The sequence below is a fragment of the Homo sapiens genome, chromosome 8, assembly GCF_000001405.40.
Source record: "Homo sapiens chromosome 8, GRCh38.p14 Primary Assembly".
Lineage (NCBI taxonomy): Eukaryota > Metazoa > Chordata > Mammalia > Primates > Hominidae > Homo > Homo sapiens.
In genome coordinates this window covers 102,307,616-102,329,275 of record NC_000008.11, presented here as the reverse complement: position 1 = coordinate 102,329,275, position 21,660 = coordinate 102,307,616, and the positions used below count along the sequence as shown (strand labels likewise).

The 21,660-nt window shown below is 37.6% G+C and overlaps 1 protein-coding gene across 7 annotated transcripts in view, besides 2 other annotated features; it reads left to right on the top strand.

The window, feature by feature from the left end:
• UBR5 (ubiquitin protein ligase E3 component n-recognin 5) overlaps positions 1-21,660 on the top strand; it is a 160,428-nt gene that overhangs the window by 83,425 nt on the left and 55,343 nt on the right. For all 7 annotated transcript variants that reach the window (NM_001282873.2, NM_015902.6, XM_047421849.1 and 4 more), the window contains 10 exons: positions 76-186; positions 1,380-1,534; positions 2,613-2,730; positions 5,781-5,965; positions 14,423-14,532; positions 15,360-15,472; positions 16,791-16,934; positions 17,031-17,142; positions 17,387-17,541; positions 17,780-17,977. In NM_001282873.2, coding sequence (NP_001269802.1) covers positions 76-186; positions 1,380-1,534; positions 2,613-2,730; positions 5,781-5,965; positions 14,423-14,532; positions 15,360-15,472; positions 16,791-16,934; positions 17,031-17,142; positions 17,387-17,541; positions 17,780-17,977 — 1,401 coding nt within the window. The remainder of the gene's footprint in view (positions 1-75; positions 187-1,379; positions 1,535-2,612; positions 2,731-5,780; positions 5,966-14,422; positions 14,533-15,359; positions 15,473-16,790; positions 16,935-17,030; positions 17,143-17,386; positions 17,542-17,779; positions 17,978-21,660) is intronic.
• Positions 4,887-5,634: an enhancer, noted in NCBI's record as "NANOG-H3K4me1 hESC enhancer chr8:103335870-103336617 (GRCh37/hg19 assembly coordinates)". NCBI's record gives its function as "activates a minimal SCP1, AML or CMV promoter by ChIP-STARR-seq in primed H9 embryonic stem cells {active_cell/tissue: H9 hESC(primed)}" and the evidence as "EXISTENCE:reporter gene assay evidence [ECO:0000049][PMID:30033119]".
• Positions 11,634-12,134: an enhancer, noted in NCBI's record as "H3K27ac hESC enhancer chr8:103329370-103329870 (GRCh37/hg19 assembly coordinates)". NCBI's record gives its function as "activates a minimal SCP1, AML or CMV promoter by ChIP-STARR-seq in naive H9 embryonic stem cells {active_cell/tissue: H9 hESC(naive)}" and the evidence as "EXISTENCE:reporter gene assay evidence [ECO:0000049][PMID:30033119]".

The window sequence follows — 21,660 nt, the reverse complement described above, 5'->3', positions numbered from 1 at the left end:
ATTTTATGAAATCTTGCATTGAATAGCTCTACATATCAACATATAAAATAGTAATTTTTTTTTATGCTTTCAAAGAATCCTTCATTACATCATCCACGAGCAACATTTTTGGGGTTAACCAATGAAAAGATAGTCCTCCTGTCTGCAAATAGCATAAGAGCAACTGTAGCTACAGAAAATAACAAGGTATGAAACACTTTGCATTGATTAACATTTCATGCTTTAATTCTTGTTTTCTTTTTTTCTTTTTTGCTCCTTTTCCATCTTTTCATTTTTGATCTATGTTAACATAAATACAAAGTGTCTCAAGCCTTAGTAATCTAATGTATATTTTTGTTGGCTAGTTTATACTGTAACTTTAAAAATAGCTTTCTGTGGCTGGGCCTGGTGGCTCACGCCCGTAATCCGAGCACTTTGGGAGGCTGAGGTGGGTGGATCATGAGGTCAGGTGTCGAGACCAGCCTAGCCAACCCATCTCTACTAAAAATACAAAACCCCATCTCTACTAAAAATACAAAAAAATTAGCTGGGTGTGGTGGCAGGCGCCTGTAATACCAGCTCCTCAGGAGGCTGAGGCAGGAGAATTGCTTGAACCTGGGAGGTGGAGGTTGCAGTGAGCTGAGATCGTACCACTGCACTGCAGCGCAGGTGACAGTGCGAGACTCCGTCTCAAAAAAAAAAAAAAAAAAGCTTTCTGGTTTAAGGAAAGGCAAAAATATTCAAGAAAATTGCTAAGAAAAGATGTTGAGAAGCTAGAAAATACAGATTGACAAAGTATGGATATTATGTCTCAAATTATCGATTTGGCTTTAAAGTCACTAAATTGTTTTGTTTTGTTTTTTTGAGACAGGGTCTTGCTTTGTTGCCCAAGCTCAAGTGCAGTGGTCGTGGCTCACTGCAGCCTTGAACTCAAGCCTTCCAAGTAGCTGGTACTGTAGGCACACACCACTGTGCCCAGCTGATTTTTAAAACTTTTTTCTAGAGGCAGAGTCTTACTGTGTTGCTCAGGCTAGTCTCAAACTCCTGGCGCCAAGTGATTCTCCCTCCTTGGCCTCCCAAAGTGCTGGGATTACAGGCATGACACCTGGCCTAAAGTCACTAAATTCTTTTAAAAATTGGTAGAGCAAATGTTTACTTCTGACCTTAAAGATGGCCTTAGACATTCATTTGAATAACTGCTATTTTGATTTGTGTGAAAAAGTATTATAGTTTCTAGTCTTACTAAGAACCTCTCTGAATTACTTATTTTTATAGCATTTAACTCAAAACATTTTAGAACTCCAGTCTTTAAAGTATATATGCCTTGCCCTAGTTTTTACCACAATCCTTTTGAAAAGATGGCTTGATTTTATTTAAAGTTCTAATATTTTATTCTTTAGGTTGCTACATGGGTGGATGAAACTTTAAGTTCTGTGGCTTCTAAATTAGAGCACACTGCTCAGACTTACTCTGAACTTCAAGGAGAGCGGATAGTTTCTTTACATTGCTGTGCCCTTTACACCTGCGCTCAGCTGGAAAACAGTTTATATTGGTGGTGAGTCTATAGGGAGGAGGAATTTATCGGTGAATGCTTGTGTATGTATAGAAAGATGCTTTGAGTAGTGGAATACCAACATGAGAAGTTCAATTAAAAGATTATGCCTTATGGAAGGGAAATTTCACTTTGGAACAAAGTAACATTTTAAAAAACTTTAACAGTTAAATTTATAAAAATACATACTTAGTGAATATAATTAATAAGTTTTATGAAAGTATAAAGTAGAAACAAAAGTCATTTAGAATCCTGCAACCCAGAGATAACTACAGTTAACATTTGGGGTATTTTAAATCTTTTTTTCCTCTGCATAAACATGTACTTTGCTTTTACATAATTGAAAGTATAGGTTATAGAGTATTTTTTTCATTTCATTGTATGAATATTCTCTACCTTATTTAATTATAGCTTTACTGTTAGAAGGTGACCTTACATTTTTTCTTTGTTGTGTTTTAAGGAGTTAACAGCAAAATTGCATTTTGGAAACAATATATAGGGGAGTTTCCTAATGAAGTATAATTATTTGGAAGAAAATATGTCTGTTAGGCCCAGGCACAGTGGCTTTCGGAGGCCCAGCACTTTCGGAGGCCAAGGCCAGAGGATTGCTTGAGCCTGGGAGTTGGAGAACAGCCTGGGCAATACAGTGAGACCTAGTCTCTACAAAAAATACAAGAAGTAACTGGGTGTGGTGGTGGGTGCCTTGTAGTCTCAGCTACTTGGGAGGCTGAGGCAGGAGGATCTCTTGAGTCCAGGAGGTAGAGTGCAGTGAGCTGAGATCAGCCACCTGCACTGTAGCCTGGGCAGCAGAGAAAGGCCCCGTCTCAAAAAAAAAAAAAAAAAAAAAGCAATTGATGAATTTCCCATAAAATTTAATTATAAAGGTTTAATAAAAGTAGATCCAGTTATTAATCTAATGCACAAATTATAATTAAGATGAAATTGTACACATTAATAGTTTTCTGAGGCGAAAATACTGGAGAAATGCCAGAAATGCTTAACTGATAATATGTGTAATTTCAGATTTATTTAGTGGGCTGTTTTACTGCTTATTTGACCAATTTATGTTTTTTGTTTTCAGGGGTGTAGTTCCTTTTAGTCAAAGGAAGAAAATGTTAGAGAAAGCTAGAGCAAAAAATAAAAAGCCTAAATCCAGTGCTGGTATTTCTTCAATGCCGAACATCACTGTTGGTACCCAGGTAAGTGATGGATTTAGCCTGTCTTAAGGGACCTCGTTTCTCTTCAGAATCACTTTCTTCCCTTGTAAGCAGTTTTACAGATGAGCATCATTTGAAGAGTCGGTTTCCAGTAACGTGTATGTGTCACGTCATTCTTCCTTCATTCAGTAGAGTAATACTGTATAGATTGTGGTTCAGTATTAGTAGGTTTCCCTATGGGGCAAGGTTCCCTGGCTTTAAGAATCACTTGCTACTTTTAAAATGCAGAGTCTGGAACCCCTTACCTGAAATGTTTAAGTTTGTTTGGTGGTAGGGCCAGGCATCGTTGTGTTTAACAAACATCCCGGGTGATTCATATGACTAACCCGTTTGAAAGATACTGCTCTATGAGGATGTTGTCAGCATGAGGCAGGGGGCTTTGGCAAATCCCCATTTCTACCACTTTCTGGTTTTTGACTCTGAGATGGTTTTAGGCTTCTACGGGTACTATTTTCTGGAAGCTGATATTGTTAATATCTCAGTGGTTCTCTAAGTGTGGTCCAGAGACCCCTGCCTTCTCCTCAACCCTTTCAGGGACTCTGAAAATTTCCTTCATTTTTCTATTACATATTTGTGTCAGGCTGAATTAGCTTCCTATTAGCTGAATTAGCTTTGTCAGAAGAAGGTATCAACAGATTGAATGCAGAAGCAGACGTGAGAATACAGCTGTCTTTTATTAAGTCTGACATTAAGAGATTTGCTAAAATGTAAATGATGTTACTTTTCTCGCCACTATTTTTTTGAAAATCTATTTTCCATAAAAATTGTTTATATGAATGTGGGGTTTTATCACTATTAAATATTTAAAACTTTCTCAATTTCAATTACTAATACACTCGATTTACTCAGTTTTAATTTACTAATTATTAAAACTAGATATGACCCATATAAACATAAGGTTTTTGGGATATGCAGTAATAGTTAATAGTGAAAAAAGGAAAAAGGTCTTGAGATCAAATGAGTCTGAGAACTTCTAATTTATTACATTCTGGTTGAGGTTTATCTTCTGGGTAAAACTTAATGCTTGTATTCATTACAGCAAATGCTGTTATGAATGTTTAAAAACTTAATCCTTAAAACTTAGACAAAATGGTAGTTTTTTATTATAGAATGTGGTGTTAATTTCTTCATCTAGCACTTTAAATGCAGGTATTTTTTTTTTTTCATTACAAGGAAGTAAAATGTACCTATTCTTTTTCTTCATGATACCTTTTTTCTTGGTCTTCCTCATGTTCTTCTGCCTATTGGTCTTCGAACCAGAAAACTTTCAGCGTTTACCCACTATTTTGAACATTATTGATCGGCCTTCATTATTTATATTAGTTTCTTTGGACAGGGTATGCTCTCTCTTTTTCCCCCTGCTCCTCTCTTTGCCCCTCCTTCCCTCCTTTGTAGGATCCCTTCTTTGCCTATTTAGTTTAAATACTGATTTCTGATGTTCTGGACATTATTTTTCAATTGCACTCATGTACTAGCAGGATGTTGCAGCAGCTGCCATATCAGCAGGTAATATGGCATTACTGTAGACAGGGAGAACAGAAAAAATATTGGAGAAAAGCTTTAAATAAAAAAGCTTGACACTAAATTGCCGAAAGATAACATATGAAAATACCTTGGTATATAACCAAGGTTGTGTTTTAAACCTGTAGAATACTGGAGGCTGAGGGCAGTTACAGCTGCAGAACAAGTAAAATATTCATGTCTTAACATTGAAAAGAACTGTTGGTCACTTATTCAGCTGCATCTGTATTTATAGATCATCTTAAGAACTATTCATTTTATGCCACGGAGTTATAGTTAATGATACACAACTATTCTTTGGTAGAACTGTACCTCTAAGCCAATGTTTCCAGTTCCTGCACTTTTCAAATGTACCACCATCTTCTTTTGTTTCTTACATTTAATTATAAGCCACAAAAAATCATGATCTTCGTGTGTACCTCTGGTCATCTACCACATAGTAAGATTGGGATATTGGATAAATAAAAGATATCTCCAGAAAAAATGTTCCTATCTAAGATGGAGATACTGTTGGTATGTTTAACAGTGCTGTCTTGAAGGCCATTGGTTTTCGGAGCATGACCTGAGGTTAGTCCCCTGACAGAGTTTTTTTTTTTTTTTTCTCTGTAAGTTATTTACTCCTAAACCCAGTTAAACTTCAGACACTAATGTCTACATATTCTTTTTTAATTTAAAAGAAAAATTATTCATGGAACCTTCTGGCTAGCAGGAAACAGTAGTCTTCTGGGATAAAGAAACATCTATAAAGTTATGGAGCCTATCATGAATTAAGGGAAAAAGTTATTTCAGATTGTAGGAAACAGACAAGAAGTGTAATTTTTTTTTTCACATTTTACTTTTTAAATTATAATGCCTTTTAGTTTCTTCTCTGCTGTTTCTGCTCTGTTTTTTGTTTGTTTGTTTGTTTGTTTGTTTGTAGCAGAATGGATGGGATATTTGCTGCATGAAAATTTAAAGTTAATGCTAAATTTTTAGCAAACATGTTGAAATTATTCCTTTTCCTTAATATTAGAAACAAATTTTCTTTTCTTTTTCTTTTTTTTGAGATGGAGTCTCACTCTGTTGCCCAGGCTGGAGTGCAGTGGCATGATCTTGGCTCACTGCAACCTCCGCCTCCCAGGTTTAAGCAATTCTCTGCCTCAGCCTCCCAAGCAGCTGGGATAACAGGCGCATGCCACCATGCCCAGCTAATTTTTGTATTTTTAATAGAGACGGAGGTTTCACCATCTTGGCCAGGCTGGTCTTGAACTCCTGACTCATGATCCACCTGCCTTGGCCTCCCAAAGTGCTGGGATAACAGGCGTGAGCCACCACGCCTGGCCTAGAAACAAATTTTCTTAATGAAGACCTTTAAGGTGGTGCTTTTTCAGCCTTATTGATTGGGTAAGATTATACTGGGAAACCTAGGAAGCCCAGTACTTTCATATATTGTATTTCATCCATTTGAAATAAATATTATATATATTTTTAAAGTTATGTCATCTTGATGGTGGTTTTCTTTTGTTTGCTAGGTATGCTTGAGAAATAATCCTCTTTATCATGCTGGAGCAGTTGCATTTTCAATTAGTGCTGGGATTCCTAAAGTTGGTGTCTTAATGGAGTCAGTTTGGAATATGAATGACAGCTGTAGATTTCAACTTAGATCTCCTGAAAGCTTGAAAAACATGGAAAAAGCTAGCAAAACTACTGAAGCTAAGTAAGTACTATAGCTTAACTAATCGTGCTTTGACACCAGTTCCTTGTTTGCTCTGCATATGAATGGGAATAATCAAGGAAGACTTAGAGGTGTGAAGTTGTAAACTCCTAACATGATAGGGTCTTGTTAAGGTTCCCAGGAAATTTGAAAGGAAGTGCTAAATTTTACTGTTTGTAACTTTGCTAATATATATCTATTAATTAATTAATTAATTTATTATTATTATACTTTAAGTTGTAGGGTACATGTGCACAATGTGCAGGTTAGTTACATATGTATACATGTGCCATGCTGGTGTGCTGCACCCATTAACTCGTCATTTAGCATTAGGTATATCTCCTAATGCTATCCCTCCCCCTCCCCCCACCCCACAACAGTCCCCAGAGTGTGATGTTCCCCTTCCTGTGTCCATGTGTTCTCATTGTTCAGTTCCCATCTATGAGTGAGAATATGCGTTGTTTGGTTTTTTGTCCTTGCGATAATTTACTGAGAATGATGATTTCCAATTTCATCCATGTCCCTACAAAGGACATGAACTCATCATTTTTTATGGCTGCATAGGATTCCATGGTGTATATGTGCCACATTTTCTTAATCCAGTCTATCATTGTTGGACATTTGGGTTGGTTCCAAGTCTTTGCTATTGTCAATAGTGCCGCAGTAAACATACGTGTGCATGTGTCTTTATAGCAGCATGATTTATAGTCCTTTGGGTATATACCCAGTAATGGGATGGCTGGGTCAAATGGTATTTCTAGTTCTAGATCCCTGAGGAATCGCCACACTGACTTCCACAATGGTTGAACTAGTTTACAGTCCCAGCAACAGTGTAAAAGTGTTCCTATTTCTCCACATCCTCTCCAGCACCTGTTGTTTCCTGACTTTTTAATGATCGCTGTTCTAACTGGTGTGAGATGGTATCTCATTGTGGTTTTGATTTGCATTTCTCTGATGGCCAGTGATGTTGAGCATTTTTTCATGTGTCTTTTGGCTGCATAAATGTCTTCTTTTGAGAATTGTCTGTTCATATCCTTTGCCCACTTTTTGATGGGGTTGTTTGTTTTTTTCTTGTAAATTTGTTTAAGTTCATTGTAGATTCTGAATATTAGCCCTTTGTCAGATGAGTAGGTTGCAAAAATTTTCTCCCATTTTGTAGGTTGCCTGTTCACTCCGATGGTAGTTTCTTTTGCTGTGCAGAAGCTCTTTAGTTTAATTAGATCCCATTTGTCAATTTTGGCTTTTGTTGCCATTGCTTTTGGAGTTTTAGACATGAAGTCCTTGCCCATGCCTATGTCCTGAATGGTATTGCCTAGGTTTTCTTCTAGGGTTTTTATGGTTTTAGGTCTAACGTTTAAGTCTTTAATCCATCTTGAATTAATTTTTGTATAAGGTGTAAGGAAGGGATCCATTTTCAGCTTTCTACATATGGCTAGCCAGTTTTCCCAGCACCATTTATTAAATAGGGAATCCTTTCCCCACTGCTTGTTTTTCTCAGGTTTGTCAAAGATCAGATAGTTGTAGATATGTGGCATTATTTCTGAGGGCTCTGTTCTGTTCCATTGATCTATATCTCTGTTTTGGTACCAGTACCATGCTGTTTTGGTTACTGTAGCCTTGTAGTATAGTTTGAAGTCAGGTAGCATGATGCCTCCAGCTTTGTTCTTTTGGCTTAGGATTGACTTGGCGACGCGGGCTCTTTTTTGGTTCCATATGAACTTTAAAGTAGTTTTTTCCAATTCTGTGAAGAAAGTAATTGGTAGCTTGATGGGGATACCATTGAATCTATAAATTACCTTGGGCAGTATGGCCATTTTAACGATATTGATTCTTCCTACCCATGAGCATGGAATGTTCTTCCATTTGTTTGTATCCTCTTTTATTTCCTTGAGCAGTGGTTTGTAGTTCTCCTTGAAGAGGTCCTTCACGTCCCTTGTAAGTTGGATTCCTAAGTATTTTATTCTCTTTGAAGCAATTGTGAATGGGAGTTCACTCATGATTTGGCTCTCTGTTTGTGTGTTATTGGTGTATAGGAATGCTTGTGATTTTTGTACATTGATTTTGTATCCTGAGACTATGCTGAAGTTGCTTATCAGCTTAAGGTGATTTTGGGCTGAGATGATGGGGTTTTCTAGATATACAATCATGTCATCTGCAAACAGGGACAATTTGACTTCCTCTTTTCCTAATTGAATACCCTTTATTTACTTCTCCTGCCTAATTGCCCTGGCCAGAACTTCCAACACTATGTTGAATGGGAGTGGTGAGAGAGGACATCCCTGTCTTGTGCCAGTTTTCAAAGGGAATGCTTCCAGTTTTTGCCCATTCAGTATGATATTGGCTGTGGGTTTGTCATAGATAGCTCTTATTATTTTGAGATACGTCCCATCAATACCTAATTTATTGAGAGTTTTTAGCATGAAGTGTTGTTGAATTTTGTCAAAGGCCTTTTCTGCATCTATTGAGATAATCATGTGGTTTTTGTCTTTGGTTCTGTTTATATGCTGGATTACATTTGATTTGCGTATATTGAACCAGCCTTGCATCCCAGGGATGAAGCCCACTTGATCATGGTGGATAAGCTTTTTGATGTGCTGATGGATTCAGTTTGCCAGTATTTTATTGAGGATTTTTGCATCAATGTTCATCAAGGATATTGGTCTAAAATTCTGTTTTTTGGTAGTGTCTCTGCCCGGCTTTGGTATCAGGATGATGCTGGCCTCATAAAATGAGTTAGGGAGGATTCCCTCTTTTTCTATTCATTGGAATAGTTTCAGAAGGAATGGTACCAGTTCCTCCTTGTACCTCTGGTAGAATTTGGCTGTGAATCCATCTGGTCCTGGACTCTTTTTGGTTGGTAAGCTATTGATTATTGCCACAATTTCAGATCCTGTTATTGGTCTATTCAGAGATTCAACTTCTTCCTGGTTTAGTCTTGGGAGAGTGTATGTGTCGAGGAATTTATCCATTTCTTCTAGATTTTCTAGATTATTTGCATGGAGGTGTTTGTAGTATTCTCTGATGGTAGTTTGTATTTCTGTGGGATCAGTGGTGATATCCCCTTTATCATTTTTTATTGCGTCTATTTGATTCTTCTCTCTTTTCTTCTTTATTAGTCTTGCTAGTGGTCTATCAATTTTGTTGATCCTTCCAAAAAACCAGCTCCTGGATTCATTAATTTTTTGAAGGGTTTTTTGTGTCTCTATTTCCTTCAATTCTGCTCTGATTTTAGTTATTTCTTGCCTTCTGCTAGCTTTTGAATGTGTTTGCTCTTGCTTTTCTAGTTCTTTTAATTGTGATGTTAGGGTGTCAATTTTGGATCTTTCCTGCTTTCTCTTGTGGGCATTTAGTGTTCTAAATTTCCCTCTACACACTGCTTTGAATGTGTCCCAGAGATTCTGGTATGTTGTGTCTTTGTTCTCGTTGGTTTCAAATAACATCTTTATTTCTGCCTTCATTTCGTTATGTACCCAGTAGTCATTCAGGAGCAGGTTGTTCAGTTTTCATGTAGTTGAGCAGTTTTGAGTGATTTTCTTAATCCTGAGTTCTAGTTTGATTGCACTGTGGTCTGAGAGACAGTTTGTTATAATTTCTGATCTTTTACATTTGCTGAGGAGAGCTTTACTTCCAACTATGTGGTCAGTTTTGGAATAGGTGTGGTGTGGTGCTGAAAAAAATGTATATTCTGTTGATTTGGGGTGGAGAGTTCTGTAGATGTCTATTAGGTCCACTTGGTGCAGAGCTGAGTTTAATTCCTGGGTATCCTTGTTAACTTTCTGTGTCATTGATCTGTCTAATGTTGACAGTGGAGTGTTAAAGTCTCCCATTATTATTGTGTGTGGGAGGCTAAGTCTCTTTGTAGGTCACTGAGGACTTGCTTTATGAATCTGGGTGCTCCTGTATTGGGTGCATATATATTTAGGATAGTTAGCTCTTCTTGTTGAATTGATCCCTTTACCATTATGTAATGGCCTTCTTTGTCTCTTTTGATCTTTGTTGGCTTAAAGTCTGTTTTATCAGAGACTAGGATTGCAATCCCTGCCTTTTTTTGTTTTCCATTTGCTTAGTAGATCTTACTCCATCCTTTTATTTTGAGCCTGTGTGTGTCTCTGCATGTGAGATGGGTTTCCTGAATACAGCACACTGATGGGTCTTGACTGTTTATCCAATTTGCCAGTCTGTGTCTTTTAATTGGAGCATTTAGTCCATTTACATTTAAAGTTAATATTGTTATGTGTGAATTTGATCCTGTCATGATGTTAGCTGGTTATTTTGCTCGTTAGTTGATGCAGTTTTTTCCTAATCTCGATGGTCTTTACATTTTGGCATGATTTTGCAGCGGCTGGTACCGGTTGTGCCTTTCCATGTTTAGTGCTTCCTTCAGGAGCTCTTTTAGGTCAGGCCTGGTGGTGACAAAATCTCTCAGCATTTGCTTGTCTGTAAAGTATTTTATTTCTCCTTCACTTATGAAGCTTAGTTTGGCTGGATATGAAATTCTGAGTTGACAGTTCTTTTCTTTAAGAATGTTGAATATTGGCCCCCACTGTCTTCTGGCTTGTAGAGTTTCTGCCGAGAGATCAGCTGTTAGTCTGATGGGCTTCCCTTTGTGGGTAACCTGACCTTTCTCTCTGGCTGCCCTTAACATTTTTTCCTTCATTTCAACTTTGGTGAATTTGACAATTATGTGTCTTGGAGTTGCTCTTCTCGAGGAGTATCTTTGTGGCGTTCTCTGTATTTCCTGAATCTGAACGTTGGCCTGCCTTGCTAGACTGGGGAAGTTCTCCTGGATATTATCCTGAAGAGTGTTTTCCAACTTGGTTCCATTCTCCCCATCACTTTCAGGTACACCAATCAGACGTAGATTTGGTCTTTTCACATAGTCCCATATTTCTTGGAGGCTTTGTTCGTTTCTTTTTATTCTTTTTTCTCTAAACTTCTCTTCTCGCTTCATTTCATTCATTTCATCTTCCATCACTGATACCCTTTATTCCAGTTGATCGCATCGGCTCCTGAGGCTTCTGCATTCTTCACGTAGTTCTCGAGCCTTGGCTTTCAGCTCCATCAGCTCCTTTAAGCACTTCTCTGTATTGGTTATTCTAGTTATACATTCGTCTAAATTTTTTTCAAAGTTTTCAACTTCTTTGCCTTTGGTTTGAATTTCCTCCTGTAGCTCGGAGTAGTTTGATTGTCTGAAGCCTTCTTCTCTCAACTCGTCAAAGTCATTCTCCATCCAGCTTTGTTCCGTTGCTGGTGAGGAACTGCGTTCCTTTGGAGGAGGAGAGGCGCTCTGCTTTTTAGAGTTTCCAGTTTTTCTGCTCTGTTTTTCCCCATCTTTGTGGTTTTATCTACTTTTGGTCTTTGATGATGGTGATGTACAGATGGGTTTTTGGTGTGGATGTCCTTTCTGTTTGTTAGTTTTCCTTCTAACAGACAGGACCCTCAGCTGCAGGTCTGTTGGAGTTTGCTAGAGGTCCACTCCAGACCCTGTTTGCCTGGGTACCAGCAGTGCTGGCTGCAGAATAGCAGATTTTCGTGAACCGCGAATGCTGCTGTCTGATCGTTCCTCTGGAAGTTTTGTCTCAGAGGAGTACCCGGCCGTGTGAGGTGTCAGTCTGCCCCTACTGGGGGGTGCCTCCCAGTTAGGCTGCTTGGGGGTCAGGGGTCAGGACCCACTTGAGGAGGCAGTCTGCCCGTTCTCAGATCTCCAGCTGCACGCTGGGAGAACTACTGCTCTCTTCAAAGCTGTCAGACAGGGACATTTAAGTCTGCAGAGGTTACTGCTGTCTTTTTGTTTGTCTGTGCCCTGCCCCCAGAGGTGGAGCCTACAGAGGCAGGCTGGCCTCCTTGAGCTGTGGTGGGCTCCACCCAGTTCAAGCTTCCTGGCTGCTTTGTTTACCTAAGCAAGCCTGGGCAATGGTGGGCGCCCCTCCCCCAGCCTGGCTGCCGCCTTGCGGTTTGATCTCAGAGTGCTGTGCTAGCAATCAGCGAGACTCTGAGCGTAGGACCCTCTGAGCCAGGTGAGGGATATAATCTCCTGGTGTGCCATTTCCTAAGCCCGTCAGAAAAGCGCAGTATTCAGGTGGGAGTGGCCCGATTTTCCAGGTGCTGTCTGTCACCCCTTTCCTTGACCAGGAAAGGGAACTAACTCCCTGACCTGACCCCTTGCGCTTCCCAAGTGAGGCAATGCCTCGCCCTGCTTCGGCTGGTGCACGGTGCGTTGCACCCACTGTCCTGCGCCTACTGTCTGGCACTCCCTAGTGAGATGAACCCGGTACCTCAAATGGAAATGCAGAAATCACCTGTCTTCTGAGTAGCTGACGCTGGGAGCTGTAGACTGGAGCTGTTCCTATTTGGCCATCTTGGCTCCTCCCCCCTCATATTTATATATTAACAGTTGATTTTGATGGCCAGATGACAGTGTAGTGTTCTCTTTTGATGCCCTCGTTTTGTTATTAGATTGTATCCTTTGCAGGTGTTTTGTGGCAGTAATAATATGTTTAAGCCTTGCTATTAAGCCGACATTCTCTCTCCTTGTTTAATCATCTTAAATTTCTACCTAACTTCCTGCCCTACATCTTGATTATTGAAAGGGTTTTACAGATTAATGTACTCAAGAGGGAAATATCTGTAAAGAATTGGTAAACGTTTTTTGGGTTGAAGGGATTTGTGAATAGAAACACCGCTGAATTTTGTATAGCCCCATGTTCTGGGGCTGACTTCTGTTTGGAGCGTAGTACAGAGATCTTAACACCTGTGCTTTTAGAAACATCTACTCATCTTTAAAAATAATCGTTTGTACTGTAATTTGGTTGTTTGGTACATGAACTTTAAAACTTTAGTAAAATTGTTAAATAACATTTTTTCTTAATCTTATAAAAATAGGTGACCAGTATAGATATGTGGGAGAGTAGTAATATCACATTCTAGAAAGAACATTTAACACATCAATGTATTTTCTTTTTTTCTAAATGTATTCAGGCATTGAAAAACGATAGGGATTTTACTGTACATACAGATTTTTAAGGTTCCAAAATTGTTTAGTTTGCTTTCCATTTATACTCAGATGTTATGATTATAAATTTACTAAGTTTACTGCTGTAATTCCTCAGTGTTAAAAGTGCAAAGTTAAATGTGAAAACAGTGATTACTGTTAAGTTAAATGTAATTTTTAACAAACCAAAGCTATTGCACTTTATACCTCATTAAGGTTTTGCTTTTAGTTTTCGTGTTCTTTCTCTGTCTTGGTTTTTTAAAAAAGATTTATAGACTTTCTAATTACGTTGGATTTTGTACTAAAAATAGAAGTAATAAAACATTTTCATTGTCTTATGAACTTTGTAAAGAACATTTGAAATAATTTTGATGTGTACAAATACAAGATTAGAATAGAATATGGAATTTAAAGCCTGTAATTGATGAAGTTTTTCAAGATCTTCCTTGAAATCAGCCATTTCAAATATTAGCAAAAGAGCTAAGTGAAATTTAAATGTTAAGAACATAGTCTTTTTCATGTCAGTAGTACCCTCGTTTGCCAGTCATTGAAATGCATTCACTTTAAAGGTATGCTAGTGATTAATCAGTATTGGCTTCCCCCCACCATCACAGCATTTGTGGAGCAGCCAGGAGTATTTGCTGTGTACTTATTGAGATCACTCATGTTAAGATCCTGGTGAAAATAATACCAGTTTTCTTTTAGATTATTTCTAAACTCAGGTGAAATTTCTGATGAGAGTAATAGGAGACGAGGGTTAAGATGATGGTCCAGTTTATAATAGGTATATAAATAACAAATTTGTGAATAATCAGTGACTTTTCTGATTAAAAACTGATTTCTACCCTTTAATATATAAAAATATTTATGTTTGCACCATCTGTAGAATGCTGTTTAGTTGCTGTAGTTATTTTCTTAAACAGAGTATTAAATAACTCATTAAAGAGGGCTAGTTTTTTAATCCTGTCACCAGATGGTTTAAGAATAAATTTTTATAAACCATTGTGAGTAGAGTTTCTTCTTGGAACTCTATGAAATTAATGGTCTAATGGGCTTTTTACTTACTTGCCTTTACCCTTTTTTTTTTTCAGTTAAATTGCCATATCCAAATCTTAGCAGTGTTGCAGTGTGAAACTTGTTTGCTCAAGAGGCTTTGACAAAGCTGTGTTGATAAATTAAGTGTAAATTTCGTTATTTCTAGATAAAGCTTATCTGAATCATTGTCTCAAGTTGTTGATAGCTTTTATATTTTTCCTTCCCATATTAAACCACTATTTGAAAGCATGCATTGTGTACCTTTTATTCTTGAGTCTTAAAAATATACAATGAAAAAATTAATATAAATACATAGTTTAATAAAAATGTTTTTAATATTCATTCTTTTATAAGAAAATACTTGTCTTTAAAAAATACTAGTTTCCATTATTTCATTTATCTAATTATAAGGAGAATCTTATTTCTTATCTCAGGCCTGAAAGTAAGCAGGAGCCAGTGAAAACAGAAATGGGTCCTCCACCATCTCCAGCATCCACGTGTAGTGATGCATCCTCAATTGCCAGCAGTGCATCAATGCCATACAGTAAGTTTTATTTGTTGTATGCATTTGTGAAAATAGGTCTCATGCAGACAGCTGTGTTTAGTTTGTTTCTGATTTAAGGCAACTCATATCATTTTTTACATCTTTTTATATAATTTGTATCTCTATTACTTTGGTTTTTTTTTTTTGCATAACCTTCTTTGAATAGAAAGATGGTATTTACAGTGTTGACTATTTCTGTTGTTTTTCAGAATTAGAGTTTTAAAAAGATATGTGAAATTCATGATAGTAATAGAAGGAAATAATTGCCACTAGCTAGTCTATCTACTCACTTTTGTTGAGACTCTTATTATTGTAAATTGATTATGTCTTGGTCACAACTTTTGCTCAAAATTTGTAAATTTATAAACCTAGACTTACTGCCACACCATGGATAGAATTTTTTCAAAAATTCCTTAAAATAAATTTTATGGTGTTAATTGCTTTGCAATTTAGGAAATTAAAAGTTAGACTTTAATAGTTATGTGATAGTTTTCTTAAAACTATCTGGCAGATCTTCCTTTTTAAACTCTGGTTAGATACTATAATTTTGGGAGTACAAAATACATTTTACGCTATTTCTTTGTACTTGTTTATACTGGTGTTAATACAATTAAACATTAATGGTTACAGTTGTTCTTCACTGTGAATTTATTTGAAGTACAGATTGATCAGAAAACTCCAATTCATAAAGCAGTAGCTTAGGAAATTGTTGAGAAACTTCACTTATGTATCCCTTTAAAGATAGTCTTTCTTATAAATTTAGATGAAATCTATAAAGTCTCTTTTACATTTTCTTTTTGGTACTTACCATTTTGTTGTTGTCTAAGAACGACGACGGTCAACCCCTGCACCAAAAGAAGAGGAAAAGGTGAATGAAGAGCAGTGGTCTCTTCGGGAAGTGGTTTTTGTGGAAGATGTCAAGAATGTTCCTGTTGGCAAGGTTTGTTCAAGATATCTAAAACTTAATTACTAACAGAATTATAATGATATTGGTTATCCAGGGATTTGTGGTTGATATCTGAGTCCTTTCTTCAGGGCTGTTTTATTTATCATCTTCAGTGGTATCTTTAGTTGCACCCCTGCATCTGATGCAGATCTGTCTTCTCAGTCGCTGACAGATGAAGAGATTATGCCTCTCTTTGAGCATTTGTGATGATATGTTGCTTTTTAAAAAAACTATTATTTGGGAATAGTTTTAGTTTTGTAGAAAAGTTGCATAGAGATACGTTACTTTTTGGTACAGCCCATTTGTTGGATCTCTTAGTTCTAGTTGAGATCATCTTCCATGACATTTAAAATTCTTCCAGAGTACTGAAAAACCTTATTACAAGTCACCTTCCACTTTTTCTCCTCTCTTCTGTTTTGCCTTCTAAGAAACCATCAATTTGAGTGCCATTAATTTCACTCTTCTACTGACACATATTTAAAATGCACTTGCAGTTGTAGAATGTCTGTAAAGTAAAGGTTTTCATGATTACTCAGTAGTTTCTGAAACGTGATAGTCTTTCATTTATACTTAAAGGAAAGAGCAGATATACCAGTTTCTGCAGCTTACAAAGGTCTTTCTCATATACCGTTTCATTTGATTCTCAAAATAGACCTGTAGTTCATGGGTAGGTGTTTTCTTCTGAGAATTAGATACGGGCTTAAAATAAAAAGCATCAAGTAGCAGAAGTGGGACCCAAATTTGTCCTGGTTTCAAATTCTGTGCTTGTCTTTCTGTGCATTGCTGACCCTATCCCTGTGTTGAGTGTATTGTAGCCACTAGCTGTATATGTGGCTGTTTAAATTTGTTAAAATCAAATAACTTAAAAAAGTCAGCACCTTCGTCACATTAGCTTCATTTCAAGTGCTCAGTAGCCACTTATGGCTAATGGCTGCCGTATTGGACACCGCCAATATAGAACGTTGCCATTTTCAAGAAAGTTCTGTCAGACCGAAGGCTGCTTTAATTTAATTAGGAGATGGGAGGATTTCACGGGCTATATACTTAAGTTTTTCAGTTGATTACTGAAAACATTCACTGACTGTAATCACTGGCTGTGTGGGTCAGTTTTCTCTAGCAAATGAGCCTTGAATATAGATGTCAGTAGCAAAGCTCAGAGTCTGTCTGGGTTGATTTTATAACTTGGTGATCATTGAAGAAACATACAAAGAATTGGATTCCTTTAACATTAAATTAGTTCAGTGAATAGAATTTGTATGTTGATTTTATATAAGCTATTGCTAATGTTCATTGAATTTGCCTATACTTCCAGGTGCTAAAAGTAGATGGTGCCTATGTTGCTGTAAAATTTCCAGGAACCTCCAGTAATACTAACTGTCAGAACAGCTCTGGTCCAGATGCTGACCCTTCTTCTCTCCTGCAGGATTGTAGGTTACTTAGAATTGATGAATTGCAGGTAAGTGTAAAGAAGTTATTCAGCAAGTGAATATTGGAACTGACTCCGTGAGTTTATTATGGAGTTTGAAAGCAAAATTCCTTTTGTGTCATGCAGGTTGTCAAAACTGGTGGAACACCGAAGGTTCCCGACTGTTTCCAAAGGACTCCTAAAAAGCTTTGTATACCTGAAAAAACAGAAATATTAGCAGTGAATGTAGATTCCAAAGGTAAATTTTGAAACTTCTTCAGCTGGCATATCCTATATTCCATTAATACTTGTTCAGGAAATGGGAATATGATAAAATAATTCAGGGCATTGGCATTTTTTTGTTCCCTATCTGTAACATTATGGAATGGCATGTATCTGTTTGAATTGACTTACAAGTGTGGCCAGAGAAGTTAAAATATTGTAGATGTTTATTAGAGATAAGATGTATAACAATTTTTCTTCTCATTTATGTGCTTCTGAAGGTGTTCATGCTGTTCTGAAGACTGGAAATTGGGTACGATACTGTATCTTTGATCTTGCTACAGGAAAAGCAGAACAGGAAAATAATTTTCCTACAAGCAGCATTGCTTTCCTTGGTCAGAATGAGAGGAATGTAGCCATTTTCACTGCTGGACAGGTAGAGGCTCATTTTTGCTTTTGAAAAGTGATAGGACAACAATGGCATTTTTGTGAGGTTAGGGGGTCTGGCTCTGGTTAGCTTATCAATTATTCAAAAACCTAGAATATTTAGCACATTTGAATACTAGGTTTCTTATTACTATTACTAAAATCTAATTTGGAAATAAATATGCCTGTAAAAATCAGATACATTTTTTGATTAGGAGTCAAACTTTACCATTTTCCCATTATTATAGGAATCTCCCATTATTCTTCGAGATGGAAATGGTACCATCTACCCAATGGCCAAAGATTGCATGGGAGGAATAAGGGATCCCGATTGGCTGGATCTTCCACCTATTAGTAGTCTTGGAATGGGTGTGCATTCTTTAATAAATCTTCCTGCCAATTCAACAATCAAAAAGAAAGCTGCTGTTATCATCATGGCTGTAGAGGTAATTTGAGTATTGAAACTACTGGGCATTTTAATTCACAAAACACCACTAAATAGTCTTGAATAGATCTTGCAACAATCTTAAATAGATCATTCATTGCCCCTTTCTTCCCTAAAAGAGCTAATGGTCTATTAAAACTACATAGACAAGTACATCAGTGATTATCGTGTAATTTAAGTGTTTGAGCAAGGCATGCATAATGTTGTAGGAGCACAAAGGGGAGAGATATAAATCATACTGTGACTGTACCAAAGACTTCTTTAAGAAGCGATACCCGGACAGATCAGATAGGCCCCTTAGACACAGGGATGGAGTTGGGAGGTATTATCCCAGGCACCAAGAGCAACCTTTGTGAATCTTATTAATAAGTTGGGAGAAAGTACTTTTTTTTGATATGACCAGAATTCTGGTAGGGATCCTGTGGGTCAGTGAGTAGCAACTGAAAAGGCTGGAGAGGGGCACTAGGGTGTTTGTGTGTTCACCTAACGCTACCTAAACTTCAGCCTGAAAGCGAGGAGGAGGAGGAGGATTATAAGCCAGTGAATGACGTGCTTTTGATTTTTTAAAAAAGATCAGCAGTGGCTGGTGGGTGTTTAGAGAGCAGCTGATAGATATCAGAAGTTTAGAGATCAGATAAAAAGGTTAATGTAGGCTGGGCGTGGTGGCTCACGCTTGTAATCCCGGTACTTTGGGAGGCAGAGTGTGGGGTGGATCACTTGAAGTCAGGAGTTTGAAGCCAGCCTGGCCAACATGGTGAAACCCTATCTCTACTGAAAATACAAAAATTAGCCCGGCATGGTGGCGCACGCCTGTAATCCCAGCTACTCAGGAGGCTGAGGCACAAGAATCACTTGAACCCCGGAGGCGGAGGTTGCAGTGAGCCGAGATCGCGCCACTGAACTCCAGCCCGGGCAACAGAGCGTGACTCCGTCTCAAAACAAACAAACAAACAAACAAAAAACATTTTAAAAAAAGGGAAAAAGTCAGGCAATAATCCAGGTTAGAAACAAAGTAAATGTCAACTTTTGGAAATGAGGAAGGAGGGGATGGATTTAAGAGATCTTAAGAAACTAGAACCTGTAAAGCTTGGTAACTGGATTTTAGCAGTGAATGAAAGAATTAATAAAGCTTCTGATTTGGGCATGGTTGATGGTAGAGAAGAAATATAGGAGGGGGAACAAATGGGATAAGGGAAAAGGATGAATTTAGTTTTAAACATGTTGTGGTTTGTTGTGATAGAGTATTTGTTAGATGTGGAGACAGTGCATTAGAAGCTATTGGAGCAATTTCAGCCGAGATTGACCTGATATCAGTGAACATTTTAAAAGGATTCCTTATGACGTGCTGAGAGTACTAGGGTGAAAGTGAGTAAATAGGAGTGCCAGTTAGGAGGATATAATAATAATCCAGGTGGGAGATGATAGTGACTTACCCAGGGGGTGGAGTTAGGAGTGAAATGTGACTAGATTCTAGTTACGTAGTCATGTGTTGCTTAATGACAGGGATACATTCTGAGAAATACATTGTTAGGTGATTTCATTGTTGTACAAACATCACATAGTGCACTTACATGAACCTAGATGGTATAGCCTATTGCTCCTAGGGTATAAACCTATATAGTGTATTTCTGTACTGGATACCGTAGGCATTTGTAACACAGTGATAAGTAGTTGTTTACATAAACATAGGAAAGGCACAGTAAAAATACGGTCTAAAGGATAAAAAAAAGGTGCACCTGATAGGGCATTTAGCACAAATGAAGCTTAGAAGATTGAAAGTTGCTCTGGGTAAGTCAGTGAGTGAGTGGTAGGTGAATGTGAGGGCTTATGTTATTACTGTACACTGCTGTAGACTTTATAAACACTGTACACTTAGGCTACACTAAATTTTTTTTAACCTTTTGATTTGTTTGTAATAATAATATGCTTAAAACACATTGTACACAGTCGGGCATGGTGGATTGTACCTGTAATCCCAGCATTTTGGGAGGCCAAAGTGGATGGATCCCTTGAGGCCAGGAGTTTGAGGCCAGCCTGGGCAACATAGCGAAACCCTGTCTCTACAAAAAATACAAAAATTAACCGGGTGTGGTTGTGCCTGTAATCCCAGCTACTTAAGAGGCTCAGGCACGAGAATCGCTTGAACCTAGTAGGTGAAGGTGGAGGTTGCAGTGAGCTGAGATCATGCCACTGCACTCCAGCCTGGGCGACAGAGTGAGACTCTGTCTTACACACACACACACACACACACACACACACACATTGTGTAGCTATCTAAAAAATAACTTTCTTTCCTATATCCTTAAGGGTTTTTTGGGGGGGAGGGGCAGAGTTTTCATTTCTTTCTTTCTTTCTTTTTTTTTTTTTTAAAAAAAAAACTTTTAGGCTTGGGAGTACATGTGAGATTTTACTGCAGGGTAAACTCATGTACAGGGTTTTTTGTACAGATTGTTTCATCACCCAGGTATTAAGCACTTTTTCTATATTTAAAATTTTTTACTGCCTTTTTAAAAAATGTGCAATTTACAATGCCTTCTTCTGTAATACCTCCTGAAGGACCTGCCTTAGGCTGTTTTAGTTAACTTTAAAAAAAATAGATAGAAGAAGTACATTCTAAAGTAACCAAAGAAAGTATAGTAAATACTTTAGAAATCAGTGACCTAGTTTTATCATTATCGAATATTATACTGTACATAAATTGTATGTACTGTACTTCTATATGATTGGCAGTACAGTAGGTTTGTTTATGCCAGCACTGCCACAAACAGTATGATTTAACAACAGCTACGATGTCACTAGGCAATAGGAACTTTTCAGCTCCATTATAATCTTATAGTACCACAGTCATATATGTGGTCCATCATTGACCGTAATGTTTTTATGCAGCACATGACTGTACTAGGTATCTTTTTAAGGTAGAACTAATAGATTTGCTAATGGCTAAATGTAGGGTATCAAATAGACGAAGCAAGAGGGTTAATGGTTTTGGAAGAATGAAGTTGTCATTTACCGAGTTGAAGACTATAGAAGTGAAGAAGATTCAAGGGTTTGGTTTTAGACGTGAAGTTTAAGATGTCTCTTCTGATAGAGGAAGTGAATGTGAAGACATTTTAATAGATGTCTCTTCTGATAGAAGAAGTGAAGGTGAAGGTTCAGGAATTTGGTTTTAGACAGGTGAAATTTAAGTTGTCTATTAGAAGATTATCTGACAGATTCCTGGACCAAGAGGAGATGGCAAGTAGAAAGTTAGATGTGTAAGTCTGACTAAGAGAGAAAGGCTCAAGCTGGAGAAATTTACTTGGGAGTTGTTTATTTAGAGGAATTATATTGAACAAGATCATGGAGGTGGTGAGGAGAAAAGGTCCAAGGACTAAGTCCTGAGAATAGTCTCAACATTTAAATGTTAGGGTGATAAAGAGGAACGAGCATAAGAGATCGAGAAGGAACATCCACAGGGTTGGAGGAAAGCTAGAATGAGTTGTGTCCTGGAAGTCAAATGAAGAGCACATGTCAAGCAGGATGTTGGGACCAACTGTGTCAAGTGATGTGGTAGGTCAGTGAAGTGAATACTGAATATTGACTGTTGGATTTAGCTCCATCTAGGTCATTATTGATAGTGGGGATGAAAGCATTAGAGTGAACTTAGGAGAAAATGAGAGGTGAGGAACTGAAGATAAATATCAG